This window comes from Homo sapiens, chromosome 2, assembly GCF_000001405.40.
Source record: "Homo sapiens chromosome 2, GRCh38.p14 Primary Assembly".
NCBI lineage: Eukaryota > Metazoa > Chordata > Mammalia > Primates > Hominidae > Homo > Homo sapiens.
The window spans coordinates 122,205,172-122,221,675 of NC_000002.12; the positions used below are offsets into that span (position 1 = coordinate 122,205,172).

General features: G+C 44.9%; 1 long non-coding RNA gene across 6 annotated transcripts in view, besides 1 other annotated feature; it reads left to right on the forward strand.

Annotated features, from left to right (window-relative positions):
• The window catches only part of LOC105373592 (uncharacterized), a 530,486-nt gene that overhangs the window by 302,719 nt on the left and 211,263 nt on the right, over positions 1 to 16,504 (forward strand). For 5 of the 6 annotated variants that reach the window (XR_001739684.2, XR_007087222.1, XR_923281.3 and 2 more), the window contains exon 3: positions 15,648 to 15,748. This is a non-coding gene — a long non-coding RNA (uncharacterized LOC105373592). Of the gene's footprint in view, positions 1 to 15,647; positions 15,749 to 15,851; positions 16,244 to 16,504 lie in introns of those variants that run through there. The other variant, XR_923282.3, reaches the window with a different exon arrangement.
• Positions 410 to 911: an enhancer, noted in NCBI's record as "NANOG hESC enhancer chr2:122963157-122963658 (GRCh37/hg19 assembly coordinates)". NCBI's record gives its function as "activates a minimal SCP1, AML or CMV promoter by ChIP-STARR-seq in primed H9 embryonic stem cells {active_cell/tissue: H9 hESC(primed)}" and the evidence as "EXISTENCE:reporter gene assay evidence [ECO:0000049][PMID:30033119]".

Below are 16,504 nucleotides of genomic sequence, written 5' to 3' on the forward strand. Positions count from 1 at the left end.
AAGGGGCAGGAAAAAGTAGCAAATGCATTCTGAGAGTGTCAGGAGATTAGGTCAGAGGGCTAGCTCATGAAGTATCTAGCATAGCAGGGGCTCCATGACTAATATCATTTGATTACAGTGACTGCGTGAAGCACAGTGTTGAGAAGGATTCTGAAGCTGAATTATTGCATCTCCATGTGCAGTAGTTGGTAAGCAATGCCTATCATGGACGCAGAAGGGCTCGCCGGTGCTATAAGTGCCACGTGTTTGCCAATCCTGATGTAGAAAATGCTTTAAGTTGGCCGGGCAGATCAGGGATGCCTTTAAAGTGAAAAGGTTTCTTTTTCTCTTGGAGAAAGATAACATGGAAATACCATTTCCTGCTGAAGATGAGCAATATATTTAAATATCTCTTGCTTTGATGAAGTTCTGTGTGTACCCTGCCCCGATCTTCCTTCTGTGGAAATCAAGGTAATGCAGAGAGCTTGGTAAGTATTTTCAAGATCTGAGTATGAACTGCAGGCTCGCAGTGTCTGGGGAGAGCTTGAATGCCTTTGCTTGTGGCAAACTTACACTGTGAACAAGCCAATTGTGTGGAAGATGTAAAATGTTTCCAAGTGCATTTCTTATCTTGACAAACTCCTCCACTAACAGCCAGGGAGCAGAGATCTACTTAGCAGTCAGAGGGAACAGGAGTTAACCATGGGAAGTTGGGATGCTAACAGCCCCAGGCTCTCCACCCTCTGTGCTGCACAGCAGTCAGCTGAATCTTTCCCAGCCCTGTGGCTGGCACCCCGTAGCTCTGGGCCTCATTATACATGCTCCTTGTGCCCACTCTTCCCTGCTCTGCATTTCCTCCTTCATGTGCCTGACATTTCCTAATGAAGATGTTTAACTTCATTTTTCACCACTGGTGTTCAGGCACAAGTCAGTTTCCACTGATGCTCTGGCTTCTGAAGGCCCCAACAGCATGTGGCCACCAGGATTTGGGCTCAGAGAGACATTCTTGGGGGAGTGCCCCCCAGGACCCTTTCAAAACAGCTCTGGTCATTGGTACCAGGCATGAGGACACAGAGATAAACATGGCCAGTTCCTGCTCTCCAAGAATGTCAAGTCCTTTTGCAAAGACCGACTCTCCATGAGTGACTCACACTGCAGAACACCGAGTTCAAGAGTGGATGGGGATACGAAAGCATGCATCTGAAGAGTCTGCTTGAAAGACACAATAATGAGTGTGTATGCTTACCCTACTTTCTGATGCTCATGGCCTGAGGTTGGCAGGACCTGGAAATTTATAATTGTTGTTTCTTTTTACAGACAAGGAAACCAGAGTTTAGATTGCATATCCATTCACTCATTCTTTTAGCTTTTTTCTAGTACCCACTATAAGTCAAACATATTGCTAAGTGCTTAAGACACAAGAGGTGTAGCTGTCCTTGCCACCACTGAGCTGGAGATGCTCACATTTATCCCTGCACACTCACACCCACTCAGTGCCTGAATCTGGGGGCAAATCAGTCACTGCTCTGTATCAAGCTCCCTTCTTAAGACTCTGTATTGTGTATTTCACTGGAATGCAACCACAAAGAGAGCTTTCCTAAAATGATCTCCTCCTGAAAACAGTGCAGGAGGTTTTGCAATATTTCTTTCTTGAACATTTCTCTAAAGCTTTTCCCTGAATGGAGAAGGGCCCCTGGCTATACAGATGCAGGTGGAAACTACTGGTGTGAAGTTATCCTGTGAACAAATAAAGTTGACTTCCTAAAATTTCCCTGTTCAAATAGTTGTTGACATATCCTTGAAGATTTTTAAAAGAATGATCTATAAACATCGCACTTCAGAGTTATGTTTGCAAGGCCATCTATTATGTTTACAAAGAAGATCTTGAGGTAGGAATCTCTGGGTTCTGCAGGTGCTGCGTGAACCCCAGCAGGGCCATTCCAGATGCTCCACAGGACAGCGCTGAACGCACCGCAGTGAGCCTGGGAGGCCCTGGGCTACTGCTGCCTCCCCTTCTCTGGGCTGAACATCAAGGTAGTGCTTCTGTGTTCTTCTCCCAACTTGTGCAAGAAAGGACATTAAAGTTATTTTTATGAAATTGCCTAACACAATGGCTAAGCCAGTGATTTGTTCAGACTCGTTTTTACCACTTACCTGAAAAGTTATTGATAAGGATGTTTTTAAGCTAATGTAGAGAACGTTCTTATTTTGCTCTTCCAGGGTCAGGCTGTTCTAGCTAGAGATAGAAAAGAGTGAGGTAACTTATGAGCACACTTTTGAATGAATTCTGCCAGTTCTACAAGACAGCACAAAACCTCCGTCTCACAGCGCTGAGAAGACCGTCTGTATGGACCCACAAAAGGCTCTCTGGACAGCCATGATCCTGTGACCCACAAGCCATGTGTCTGGGGATTGATAGGACGAGGAGCGTTGCCAACAGATGGCTTTGCCCTTTCATGCACTGTCTTCCCCTGGGAGCTTGGAGGGGCTTGGGAGGCAGAACCAAGAGTCCAAAGCTGAGTGGAGAATGGTGCTGTGGAATATGCTGTCCTGCCTGTCATTTCTGTGCCTAATAAATGTATCTGGGGACTCAGAGACAACCGAGAACCCTTCCCACAAAGCTAACAAACTTAGCTTTCTCAACCAGAGCACACTGTTTGAGAATATTTAGGACTCAGTTATACCAAGTCCATTTAGATTTTTAAAAATAAATTCTTAAACCTCTCTGCATGACCTGCTGTCCTGATAGAGGATAGCGAGTGGTTAATTAACTTAATCTCATAGTTTTCAAGTAATATAAAACACAACCCAATATAAAGCAGGATCCGATTATGGACATGGAATTGCTGTCTTCTAGGCTTGTGCTTGTGTGTTATCATGAACTCTTTTCTGAGGAAGAGGCTGATTACTCCAGCATCCTTTGTAGTGAAGGGCCACATGGAACTGTGAATAAAGGAGAACAAGAGGGTGGGTGAGGGGGACCTTCTGACACAAGCAGCCTTACACACAATTGAGGGCAAAGCTTCTGGTAGGCTTTGCTCATGTCACGTGTTACTTATGAAGTGTCAGCTATGAACAAAGGCTCAGATGTGCTTGTTGTCATGCGGTCCTTCATAGCTCTCCAGTGCAGCAGGGCTGGTGTGGTCCAAGACTGGAATTCTGGTGCTGCTGCCCACTGGGTTGGGAAATGGCCATGTCTGCTTTTTCTCGGGGGCTTGTTTCACCTGTGCTGGATCCACAGCCGGTGGAGCTCCTTGTGGGTTTTGTGCTGACTTCTGCTGCTGGTGCCCTCTGTTGCTGGTGGTCTCTGGTGCTGGCAGAGTCTCCTTTCTGACTGTCAGGAGGCAGAATAATGGCCCTCATGGGCCATGGGGTTGGCCACCACTGTGAGCTCCTGGAGTGGGGACCCTCTCTCTTCCCTTATCCCAGCACGGCCCAAACTACAGCTCCTGGATGGGGTATGTATGTCTCCGTGGGCTCCCTCTTCAGCCTGTGAGTCCTGGTCTGTCTGCGTCCCAGCTACCCTTGATGACCTTTTCCAGGCTCACAGTACACTGAGGATCTTTTGCACATTAGCCTTGGCTCTGGGGAATATGGAGGGTGACATTTTCCTTCTTCTGACTTGCTTTGTTCCTCTGACATTTCCAACCTGTGGCCATGTCCAACCTAGGTGCCATGTTGTATGGGGTCATTGTCTAAGTGCTTTTGAAAGTTTTCCATCTGTATCTGGGAAAGCGCACACAAAGCTTCATTTTTATAGTATTCTCCTAAAATTTGTCTGTGATTCTGCTTCAGATTTGGTCTCATAAGTGAAGGAGAGAAAGGAAGAGAGTAGGAGAGAGAGAGAGGAGAGTTCCTCTCTTTCCCTCTCTGTGGCTTCTCTCAGGTTCCCTCCTGGAGCCAAGAGGACTGTGTTCCTCTTCTCCTTCCTGCCTTACAGGGCTTTCCCTGTGTCATAACCTTCTTCCTGAGGTGGCACTCACCTTTTCTTTTCCTGGGGCTGAAATACAAAAAAAAAAAACCAACACAAAAATTGAAAAAAAAAACCCACACCAAAAAGCCAGGATATTCAAAACAGCAGAGGATATTTCAAAAATTATCCTGTTAGTAAAACAATTAAAAATTAAAAGAGAGCAAGAAGTTTCCCCCTTTCCCCTTTCTTCTGAGAAACAAATGGGGAAGTGAGTGGAAAGAATGATTCCCCAAGGTCATAGATGAAAGACCTGCACATCCACACATGATTCAAGGTGTTGAGGTTCCACCCACCTGGAAAGACAATTAAAGGGTTCAGGAGAAAAATACTTTTCTTTGAAAGATATGGAAGTGCTGGGCCTTTGGTTTCTCTTTTCTCTCCAGTTGTGTCCTGTGTTTTTGTGAAATGCCCTTTCAACTCTCACCGCCTTTCCCCAGTTGAGGCCACCTTGGACCTGGGCACCAGATCAATAAGAGATGGCATGAGAGGTCATTAAAAATGCCATGGCAGAGTGCCTCACCCAATTGCCTGTCTTTCTAGGTGAGATCCTTCTCATCACTCCTAGCGCTCATCCTTGATGGTCAACCTGTTTCCCTGGGGGCTGTTTGTTATCTACCAGCCAAACATTATTTCCTTAGACCCTTAAGCAACAAAGATCACCTGTTCCTGGTGACCTGCATTGAAAGTTGAAAGGTTTTGTGTTCAGATGGACCTCCTTTTGGGGTGTGAGCTGGTTTGAACAAATGGAAAAGAGGACAGGACGGAGAACTGGGTTCTCACCTACCTACTGGGGGATTCTGAGCAAGGTGCTGAACTTTGCTGAGTCTCAGTGCCCTTCAGCAAAATTTGGCAGTGCAGCAGGGTGCCAAGGGTTCCAGCCTGTCTTGGAGGCTGAGCTGCAGGCAAAGGTCTGGGGCCTTTTAGCTGTTAGGACTGGTCCACGGCAGACTAAATTGACTGCGGCTTTCCGTTTTGTCACCACTGGCTTGATGTCATTTTTATAGAAGCTCTGCTTTTTTTAAAGGATATTTTTTCATCCAGCAACTTGTCTTGTGATGCCCTCTTTATTATTTCCTCCTCCTGCTATTTAGCACTGACTTTCCGCAGATGCTTCCACAGCCCACTGTCATCCATCAGACTGATTTCCTCTGAATCTGTCTCTAGCAGGAGCTCCTTGGATGGCCTCCTTTTGTCATGGTATGACAAGATGACTTTAGCAGGCCAGTCCCCACTGATAATTCACTTGCAGGAGATGGACCCTGCTGCTGGATTCCCCTTTCCTCCTTCTGATGCCATTGCACTCTCCATTGATATGATCTGATGCTACACATGCCACAGAACGTGAAAAGATCATGATGCCTCTTTCTTTGGAAAGTTAAACAAGCACCTTCCAATTTTTGATGCTGCCTTTCTTCCACAAAAGTTACCTGGAGAGTGGTTGATTTTCTTCTCTTGAGGCAGTTCTCAAAAGAGAGAGGAGATAAGATTGTGTTATTGAGTGCCACCCTTGTGCTTGGCCTTAGACCAGCTGTAGAAGGAATGCGGGATCTTGCCTTGTGAACTCACATCATAAAAAAAGGTGGATCAAATAGCTCTCCAGAAGTGTGGAGAAGTCTCTGCAGTGGCCTGCAGTGCTTGCTGTACTTGAATACTTTGTAAGTTGTTCCTTCCTAGTCATTTAAAGTCTTCTGAAATGTCTTTTCTTTCTTTCCCACTCATTCTTTGGAAATGAAGGGTTATTAATGCTAATAAAAATTACTTTTGAAAATTTTGATAATAATAATGATAATAATTTCTATGAGACTAATGATATAATAGCTACCATTTTGTTAGCATTGAGTATGCATTAGGCATGCTATATGCATTATTGTGTTGAATTCTTGCCATCATCCTGCAAGACAGGAATTATTATCTCCAGAGTTTAGCTAGAAAAGCAAGGCTCAGGGCAATTAAGCGATTTGTCCAAAAATGCTGAGCCAGCAACAATGGCAGGTGCAGATCCAAACCCAGGGCTTTTTGACTTCAAAGTCTGTGCCCTTTCCTGTATTTTAAACTGCACCTTAATTCACTTTTATTGTAGATCTTTTCTCTTTCTCTGGTCTCCGTTGTCAGGGTAGATACTACTTCTTAGATTTTCATTAAAAGGCTTAATAGAAGCAGTAGGTCAAAGCTTTGGGCAGCAACAGCCTGGAATAAATGGAACAGCAGCAGCAGCAGGCCTGAAATCTGGTCACACATCAGAAGACTTGGTAGGCTTGGGAGACAGCCACATATGCACATACGCACCACACTGTGATTCATTTGCTTTATTTTAGAAAAAAATAGTTTCATTTTCATTGTGAGAGATTCAAATAATGCAGAAGTATGCAGAAAAATATCACTCAAAGCCCTGAGGAAAATTTTTTAAAAGTACAGATGCCTGTGGCTTACCTTGGAGATTTTGACCGGGGGATCATGAATGAGGTCTGATGGGGGGTGGTTCTGTATTTAAACAAGCAGTAGAGGTCATTTTGATCCCCAGCCAGAGAGAAAGAGCCATGTCCTCCTCTAGACTAAGACTAGGGCTTGCAACAGTGATTTGACTCCTGGCCTATGGTGCGAGTCTAGAGGAGTCACGCTCCTCTTTCTTCCTCTTCCTCTTCCGCTTCCTCCTCTTCTTCTTCTTCTCCTTCTCCTTCTTCTTCTTCTTCGTCTTCCTTTTTGAGACAGAGCCTCACTCTGCCACCCAGGCTGGAGTGCAGTGGCATGATCTCAGCTCACTGCAACCTCTGCCTCCAGGGTTCAAGCGATTCTCTTGCCTCAGCCTCCCGAGTAACTGGGGCTACAGGCACCCATCACCACATCCGGCTAATTTTTTTTTTTTTTTGTATTTTAGTAGAGGTGGGGTTTCACTATGTTGGCCAGGATGGTCTCGATCTCTTGACCTTGTGATCTGTTCCCCTCGGCCTCCCAAAGTGCTGGGATTATAGGCGCGAGCCACCGCATCCAGCCTCTGGTCCCTTCTAACCCTAGTGGTCTCTTTCTGAGGGGAAATGGGGCTGCCAGGGGCAGGGGAAGAGAAGTACTAGAATGGAAAGTGATGATGAGAGAGTCTGCATGTGCTGTGTAATGTCCATTCCATCCCTTAAGATCCAATGCCTGAAATTTGCATGGCAAACCTTCAATATATCTCACTTTCCCAGACAATTGCATTATCTTCTTTCTGAGATGCAATATGATGCAGTGAAGGGAATCTCCCTGCAGGAGTCAGACATACTTGGCTGAGAATTGGGTCTTTTCCCTTTACTGGCTGTGTAGGGACCCAATGGGAGTCAGTAGCCCTGCCATCAGACTTCTATGCTTGCATCCAACCCTGCCACCTATCTGGGCAAGCTATATATCTCTAAGCCTTAAAATCCTTACTTGTGAAGTGAGGATGAGTAGATAGGTATTGCCTAGGTTTGTATGAGAGTTAAATGAGATAATCCATGCACAATGCTCTAGGTAGTACCTAAGAATTCAGTATGTTGTTTATCTTGTGCAAGGTATTTAACTTTTCTTGAAAGTGAGCTCTTTCCTGAAATTTACCTGCAAAACTTATACCAAATGTGCCTGGTTCATTGTAGGTATGCAATGAGCTCTAAATCCTTTTTTCTTTGTTCTGAATGTGTGGACTACAAGAAAAAGTTTTAGGGCCAAGTCAAGTCAAGATCCTGTGGTTTAAGCTGTGGAGAGGGCATCGCTTGAGATTCGCAACCTTTGCACACAGATTTACTTTCATTTGCCTCTTTAAGGTTATGGAATGCTCAACTCTCCTCCAGGTCCCAAAGAGGCAAGAGGCCTTTCAAAAAAGGTAAATGCCTTGAAGATAGCACCACTTGGTCAAGTGGAGATGCCAGCTTATCCATCCTAAAGAGAAAGAGTCTCTTCTATAGCCATTATAAGGAGACCTGCGGACAGTTCTAAGTGGTGCAAGTTATAGATGTAATTCATGGATACTCAGGTTATTTAATTTGATTGGTGCCCTGGAAAGATATCTTGGCTGACTAAAGCATAATAGAGACAGGTAGAAGACTGTCTGAGGAAGTTCCTTGACCTTGTCTCTATGTCTATTTGTGTGCATATAAAACCAAGGTATAGAAGAAAGACTAAATTAAAAAAAAAAACCTTCAGAAACTTGTGGTGGTTATAGAGCAGTTTCCTGCCTGAGAGAAGCATTTGCAAAACAGCTTTTTAAACTCCTCTCTCCAACTCTGCCTGCTTTTCCCTTTGGCAGATTGGCTCATCCATCCTCGAGCCTGCCCACAGGCCTGTTGCCCTGCAAAATCTCAGACAGATGGGTGACTGTCCTCCTTTTCAGAGGTTTCCTGAGAAATAGATCATCCACATTCTCTGTAACCCATACCCACACCGTGCGCCCGGTAAGAATGTCTCAAATTAGCATAGCTTTCAAAAGAAGAGTAGTTGGTAGTCCAGCTCCATGTTGGGTGACATGGATTATGCATCTTAGAATAAAAGAGGCATGAAAATCAAATATGTAAGTGTCAGAACAAACTGACTCAACTCAATGCCCTGTGACCTCACTGTTATTCCTGATAATACCAGCTATTCTTCTTATGGAAAACCACCTTCACTTCCAGTAGCTACTTTTCAATTAGATCAAATGCTGCATTGTTATATGTAATATGTAAGTCAATTATATGATCAGGACCTCAATTCTAGGATATGAAAAAATACTTTTCCCTCTGCAGGGCTGGCCCTTAGTGTAGAAGAGTTAGCAGTTATCTCCTGGGTGTGACTTGAGTTGATCCAGAGTCCCCAGTGGTTAGGATTTTCATAGCCCATACATTTTGAATTCCCCTGTTCAATACCCATACACAAATAGGCTCTCATATTATGCCAGCAATTCTCCCCAAATAAACTGCGTATATTTACCTGGGAGTTTTCAAACCTGGTGCTGTCAGATGACCGTAGGCTTGCTGGGTCAGTGCAAAATCAATGGCAACAGAGTTGCCTGACTTAGTGGAATTGAGCACTCCCATCTGCTTTGATGGCGGGTCCCCTCTGGTCTCTGCTTCCATACTGGGAACTTTCTGCCCCTGGTTTCCTGATGCCATTCCATCTCCAGACCAGATTATCCCATTATGATAACTAACATTACTGACCCTGTGTGGTCAGTGTCCCTGTCTGGCACACCGACTGATATGGTTTGGCTGTGTCTCCACCCAAATCTCATCTTGAATTGTAGGTCCGATAATTCCCATCTGTTGTGGGAGGGAGCTGGTGGGGGATAATTGAATCATGTGGGCAGTTTCCCCCATACTGTTCTTGTGGTAGTGAATAAGTCTCATGAGATCTGATGATTTTATAGGGGGTTTCTCCTTTCTCTTGGCTGTAATTCTCTCTTGTTTACCACCATGTAAGATGTGCCTTTTGCCTTCTGCCATGATTGTGAGGCCTCTCCAGCCACCTGGAACTGTGAGTCCATTAAACCTCTTTTTCTTTATAAATTACCCAGTCTCAAGTATGTCTTTATCAGAAGCATGAAAATGGACTAATACACTGACCACACAGGGTCATTAAGTGGTGGAGCTGGGGAGATAATGGTTTGCTCAAGTTCTCCACCACTTACTGACCTTGTGAGTTAGGGCACTCTTGGCTGTAAGAGAAGACAGTAATCCAAGTTTGCTGGAATGATAAGAAAGTGTATTATTGCATATAAGAAGAAGCTTAGTAGTAGCGCAGCTGTAGGTCTGTCACAAGGAGAAGCACAGCGATCACATCAAAAGGAGTTTCTCTTGCTAATAGCTACTCTCCTCAGTGTGCCACCTTAGCCCTCTGGATGGTTCCCTCTTGTTCATAAGTGGCAACTCCTTTCCAGCGATCACAGTTAGACCTCGCAATGTCCAGATGCAAAAAGATGCCACCTCTTCCAAGTCTTCCTTCTTAAAAAGAAAGGATCACTTTCTTGGGAATCTTTGAGGCCCTCCCTTCTTGTCTATCTAGCCAGCTGATTAAATGCCTACCCACCAACCTTCACCAGCAAGAGGAATTTGACAGCCTTGGTTGGCATGTGATTCAGCTGAGGCTGGATCCATCTTTCCCCTGGAGTGCCCAACCCCTAGGAATTCTATTAGAGAGAGGAGGAGGAGGGTAATGGCAATCAAGAGTACCTACAGCTAATGGTGCAATACCAGTGGAGTTCCCTTTTTGAGAACTGGTCTAGGATCCCACTGCCCAGTCTGCTTGACTGACGGCAATGGTTTGGGGTTCACACTGACTGCTGAACTCATGAGACACTATGGGCTTCACCCAGCACTAATTTAACTTTAAGAAAGAACATGAAAGGCACTAGCACAGCACACACATCAGCAACATAATGGAGGTCTTGGCAGTCCCCAAGCATGTCTTGAAATCAGTGTATACTTGTAATATTTATGGTCACAAACAAAGCTTAGTGGGCACAGACAGCAATCAGTTCTGGGGACTTGTGGCTTTTACGCCTTGCTACTCCTTTCTCAGGGGTTGCTGACCAGAGTCTATTCTCAGTTCAGCCATATCTTATCAGCTACCACTTACTCATCAATTGTAGGTTATGAACTAAGCAACCTCAGTAATAAGGCCCTGGAGCTGAATCTGTGTATAGCAGTTATATTGGATCCATTATGCCTCTATGAATTCCTTAAGTTAGTGTTGCAAGAAGGATTTACCTGAAGATCAAATCTTGGGCTCCCCTGAGGCTAGAGGAAAGGCGACAATAAGCTGTTGACCCTTTCCTTCCAAGATAAAACTATTAGATATATGAAGAATTTTAGCAGAATGATAGGAACGTATGTGCTATAAAAACAAGCAAACGAAAATCCAGAAAGGATATTACTGCCCTCACCCTTTCCTTCCCGAAACATCACATCGGCGGTGGTTTTTATCTTGTTTCCTTCCCTGTTTCCAGTTTCCTAGGAGATAGCCAGTTCTACATTTTGCATGATCTTCCACTTAAATTTGGGTCCATTAATATCATTCCTCAAGATACTGAACAATGGGCATTTCTTTTAAAATACTGTCAAGCTGCCAAGTGGATGAGTTCTGAGTATTTTTGAGGAAACAATTGGTTGTCATGACTTGTCAAAATCCCCTGACCAGGTGAGCATGACCTCAAGAAGGTGACAGAAAGCCTTGGAGTGCAATTCCTCTTTCAGAAGGATTTGTGTGTTAAATAGCTTCTGGCTTACAGGAAGTCAATTACTAATGGAAGGACTGTCCTGTATGATTTCAAGAAAGTCACTTATTAACCAATCTCAGCCTCATTTTTCTCATCTTGGAAAGGCAGACAATATTACATGTTGTCTTCATCAATTTGGGCTGCCATAAGAGAAGATCATAAGCTGGGTGGCTTAAACAGACATTTGTTCCTCATGATTCTGAAGGCTGGAAGTCTATGATCAAGATGCTGGCCAATTCAGCCCTGGTGAAGGCCCTCTTCCTGGCATGCAGATGGTTCCTTCCCACTGTGCCCTCACATGGTAGAGAGAGCAAGCGAGCTCTAGTTTTTCCTTCCTCTTCTTACAAAGAAACTGATCCCATGATGGGAGCCCAACCTTCATGATCTCTTCTCAATCTAATTATCTCCCAAAGGCTCCATCTCCAAATAGCTTCACTGTGGGGGTTAGGGTTTCAACATATGAATTATAGGGGGACGTACATATTCAGTCTATAACACCTGTCTTTCCTTGGATGGCTTTGACAGTTCCATGAGAGACCAGAGGAGAAAAACCCTTCATCATATACAAAATATTATTATTTGGAGGTGAAGGGACCCACTACAGTGTGATGTTTTTCCCTCTCAAATTCCTATGTTGAAATCCTAGTTCCAAGGTGATGGTATTAGGAGATAGGGCCTTTGGAAGACAATTCAGTCTTGCGGGTGAAGCCCTCATGGATGGAATTAGTGTCCTTATAAGAGGCCAGAGAGCTAGCTAGCTGACTCTCCACCATGGGAGGCCACAGCAAGAGTCAGCCGTCTGCAACTCAGGAGAAGGACTTTACCGAGAATCATGCTGGCACCACGATCTCAGACTTCCAGCCTCCAGAACTGTGAGAGATAAATATTTGTTGTTTTAGGCACCCAGTCTATATGGTAATTTGCTATAGCAGCCTGATTGGACTAAGACAGGACTGGACCTGTTTCTGATAATATCTTAAATCACTGTATATTGGGAAGAGAAAGAGAAATGATCAGTTTGCAATTAGTGCCTCTTGGGAAGAGAAGGACAAGACCTTATGAACTTGTTTTGCAGCAACACAAATGTTCAGCCTAAAGGACTTGTGTCTTATAGATACAGTTGGTTAGAGGCCCACTTAACTCTTCTCTCCATGCCTCTGACACTGGACCCACATGCAATCTATGCACCAGTGCAGGAGGCAGGCCCAGGCAGAGCTAACATGTTTTGGAACATGTATCATGAACCAAGCACCTTAAACACGTCATCTGATTTAAACCTCAGTAAAACAGTTTGAAGTAAAGGGTGTTAGTCCCATTTCGCAGATGAAGAAGTCAAGTTTTGAAGGTTAGAAAGCTTACCTGATTAGATAGATGAAAGGCTCCAGGTGTCTGCAATACTAAAGCCCACGTCTTTGCAGCTCACCATGCTGCCAAGCCCCAGAGTACTAGGACCATCCGAGCTTAAGAGAGAGCCCCGTCCTGCTCAGGAATCCTGGCCCCGCTGTGGTTCTGCTCCTGCCTGCTGTCATGGCTCTCAGGACTAAGCATCTGCTTGTTCTTGAGCCCTGTGGCCACCTCAGCCCTGGCTACTGTCATTGTTCTTCTGTGCGCAGTTTAATCACTGGCCTGTGGCTCCAGAACTTTTAGACGTGACACTACTTCCTTTTACAGCCCACTTCTCAGAAAAGTGTAATATAGCTGGAGCTCTATTCATTTCTAACAGACTTCCCTGATGCCAGCTTGCCTACCTGGACTTCCATATTATTATAGCCTGTGGCCTGAGTGCCCCACCACTGGGTATCATTGGATTGGATTTCAGCAAAGAGTCAGAGTCACCTTTTCTAGAGCTATGCTGGGCAGTGTGCTGGGGAAGGAATAAGAATAATTCCTGTCCTCAGAGGCTCAAGGTAATTAGGGGCGCAATAGATTAGATGACTGTTCAGCAAATATTCACTCCCCTGTCCCACCATGGGAGGAGTCTATCCCCCTCCATTCCCTCTGAGGCTGGGCTTACCCATGTGGCTGTTCCAGCCTGTAGAATTGGGTGGAAGTTTCAGTGCGCCAGTCTGCGCTGAGGTCCGAGGAGGCCTTGTGTGTGTCTGCTTGTCCTCAGGCTGTCTGCCATCACCACGAGAGGACTGTGCCCAGGAAGCCTGAGGATGACGGACACGTGGAGCAGACCTGGAGTGAACCCCAGGTGTGGCCAACCCAGCAGACCCACAGACCAGAGTGAGAAATAATACTGTCACGCGGCAGAGATTTTGTGTTGTTTTGCTGCAAAAACTGACTGGTACCTGGGGAGATGTGATGATGATGATGGAGTGTAGCAATAGCATCACATATGGAGGGGGTCAGAGGGGTGTGATGAATGGCATCTTTCCCCGGGCACAGCGGCAGCTGCTTTGGTCCCTGCATAGCACGTCTCGCTCTGGTGGGGAGCTGGATTTGCTCCAGCGCTCCCTGCTCTGCCCCGCCCTGCTGTAGTTAACTGGGTTATTCTTTGAAAGACATGACAGTCTCTTCCAGGTCCTACGATTTAATTCCCTTCACTCATCCTGTGAAGTTAGTGCTTCCCTAGCAACTTCCAGGCAAGTCATTTATCAGCCTCCAGTTCAGCTAGAAACACTGCAATTACTCAGGAAGGATTATCGAGCAGTGAACATTTTAACCTTAAATGTTAATAATTATGTCAAAACTTAAATGACAATCGTTTGTCCTTTAGATAGCATTGTGGGAGATCTGGAGATCTTATATATGTATATTTTAAATGCAGTTAAACTGCTAATGACTCCTTTGCTGGATTTCAATTCTGAGGTAACCGTGTTGGTAAAGCCATCCTAGCAATTATCGAGAGAACAGAATGTCAACAGGGCCGCACCGTTAGGGAGCGGAAGGCCGTCCTCAGGGGGTCCCAGAACAGCAACACACAAGAAGCTACAGAGATAACGTGGCCCAAACCCAGCGCTTGTGCATTTGTAGTCCAGAAAAATAAAGGGACATGCCCGAGGTCACATAGCTGTTTGCCTGGAGCTGGGAACTAAGATTACGGAACACCTACCATGAGGTTTCTAGTCTGACTCATTTTTTGTATTACTGCATTTTAATCCCTACAGTAAACTTATAAGTACTGTTGTCTTCCCTACTATTCTATAGCTGGAGAAACTGAGGCTCAGAGAAGTTAGCATTCAACCCCTCCCACCCCACTGGCAGACAGGTTTTTCCAGTGGCTGCATGCATTGAAGCCTGCCAGGGTAATTTTATTAAATTCAGAGTTTCAAATATGAAGAGCATTCAAATGCCATCCTGCACTGGACTCCTATCCATGCCTCTGATCACTGGTCACCTACTGGACAGGCTGTTCCTTCAGTTATGTAGAAGCCCGCTTGAAGTGCTATCACGTGATTGGCCAAAAACTGGCTTTTGTTTGGCCCATACAGTGTATTAAATTAGAACAAAATCGTTACCAAATTTGAAGGCCGGGCGTGGTGGCTCACGCCTGTAATCCTAGCACTTTGGGAGGCTGATGCGGACGGATCACAAGGTCAGGAGATCAAGACCATCCTGGCTAACACGGTGAAACCCTGTGTCTACTAAAAATACAAAAAATTAGCCGGGTGTGGTGGCGGGTGCCTGTAGTAGTCCCAGCTACTTGGGAGGCTGAGGCAGGAGAAAGGCATGAACCCAGGAGGCGGAGCTTACAGTGAGCTGAGATCGTGCCACTGCACTCCAGCCTGGGCGACAGAGCGAGACTCCGTCTCACAAAAAAAAAAAAAAAAAAAAAAAAATAGTTACCAAATTTGAAGAGTGTACCATTTCACCCAAAAGTCTCGACTTCCTGCATCTCTTGAAAACATTTGAGAGGCTGGCAACACTAACACTGCAGTGAGAGAGGAACACTAATGTCCCCACGACTTGCAGCATTCCCCTGCTTCACATGTGTGAGTCGCCGGAGCTTCTGTCATCTGCCTGTCCCCTGGAGACATTGGCATTCTGCAATTTCAGACCTGTGAGATGGTGGGGGTGGGCAATTCTTGAGGGAATGAATGATTGTTTTCTCCTAGGTGGGGTTTTGTTGATCTGCTAGGCATTTCCCCTAGTTCACAGCTATCCTTTCCTTTCTGTGTTGGGGGCTTTCACAGGGGGTTAGGAAACGTGGGGGCCGCCATTTTGGTGACCCTCCTCCTTCAGCAGATGATACAATTAGGTTCAATCACATTATGAAATGGCCACTGTAAGGGAGTGGTATGCATTTTGGCCAAAAAAAAAAAAAAAAAGCATTTACTCTGAAAAGAGGAAGTCTTTATTCACTCACCTGGGGGAACAGATTACTTCCAGAGAATAATTTACTCACTGTAAGAACAAGGCCACTAATAAATAATGAAAATAATGAGGGCAAGAACAACACCAATAATAATAATAATGAGTGGGCTTATGAGAGTGACACGTGGCCTTCCAGCAGCCTTTGGCTCTGAGGTGATAGCATTATTCTCCCTGCAGAAACCTCAAACTTGAGACACGGTGGGAAATCAGGAAGACATGAGGCTTTGCTCAACACTGGAGAACACCAGTTCTTTTCAGTTTGTATGCATCTTTATCAGGTAAGTCTTCATGGAGCAACTTAATTTAACTAAGCATGATCTTTCTGTTATATTGAGTGTATCTTTCATGAGATGGTGATTATAATCCCCATTTTTCCTCCAGCATGGCCATGACGTGTGTAAGGCATTTCCAAGGGTGAGATTTCCTCTGAAATGTCCAAAGAAGTCAACCGCATTTCAAAAACTACCACAAACTAAATTAAAAGGCAAATATCACAATTTATTCTCATATTAGGTTTTTGAGTGAAAGATTGGATTCTAATCTCAGTTCTGCCATTTCTTCACTGGGGGTTTTGTTTTAATCTTAGTTTCTCCATTTTTCCTCCCTTCCTCCCTTTCTCTCTCCTTTTCTTCTTCTCTTCCCTCCTTCCTATGTGGTTTGGCTGTGTCCTCACCCAAATCTCATCTTGAATTGTAGTTCCCATAATCCCCAAGTGTGGTGAGAGGGACCTAGTGGGCGGTAATTGAATTATGGGGGTGGTTTCCCCCAGGCTATTCTTGTGATAGTAAGTTATCACCAGAGCTGATGGTTTTACAAGGGGCTTCCCCCTACGCTTGGCTCTCATTCTTCTCTCTCTTGCCGCTTGGGAAGAAGGATGTGTTTGCTTCTCCTTCCATCATGATTGTAAGTTTCCTGAGCCCTCCCCAGCCCTGCAGAACTGTGAGCCAATTTAATTTATTTCCTTTATAAATTACCCAGTCTCTGTCCTTATAGCAACATGAGAATGGACTAATACACCTTTCATTAAATTAGCA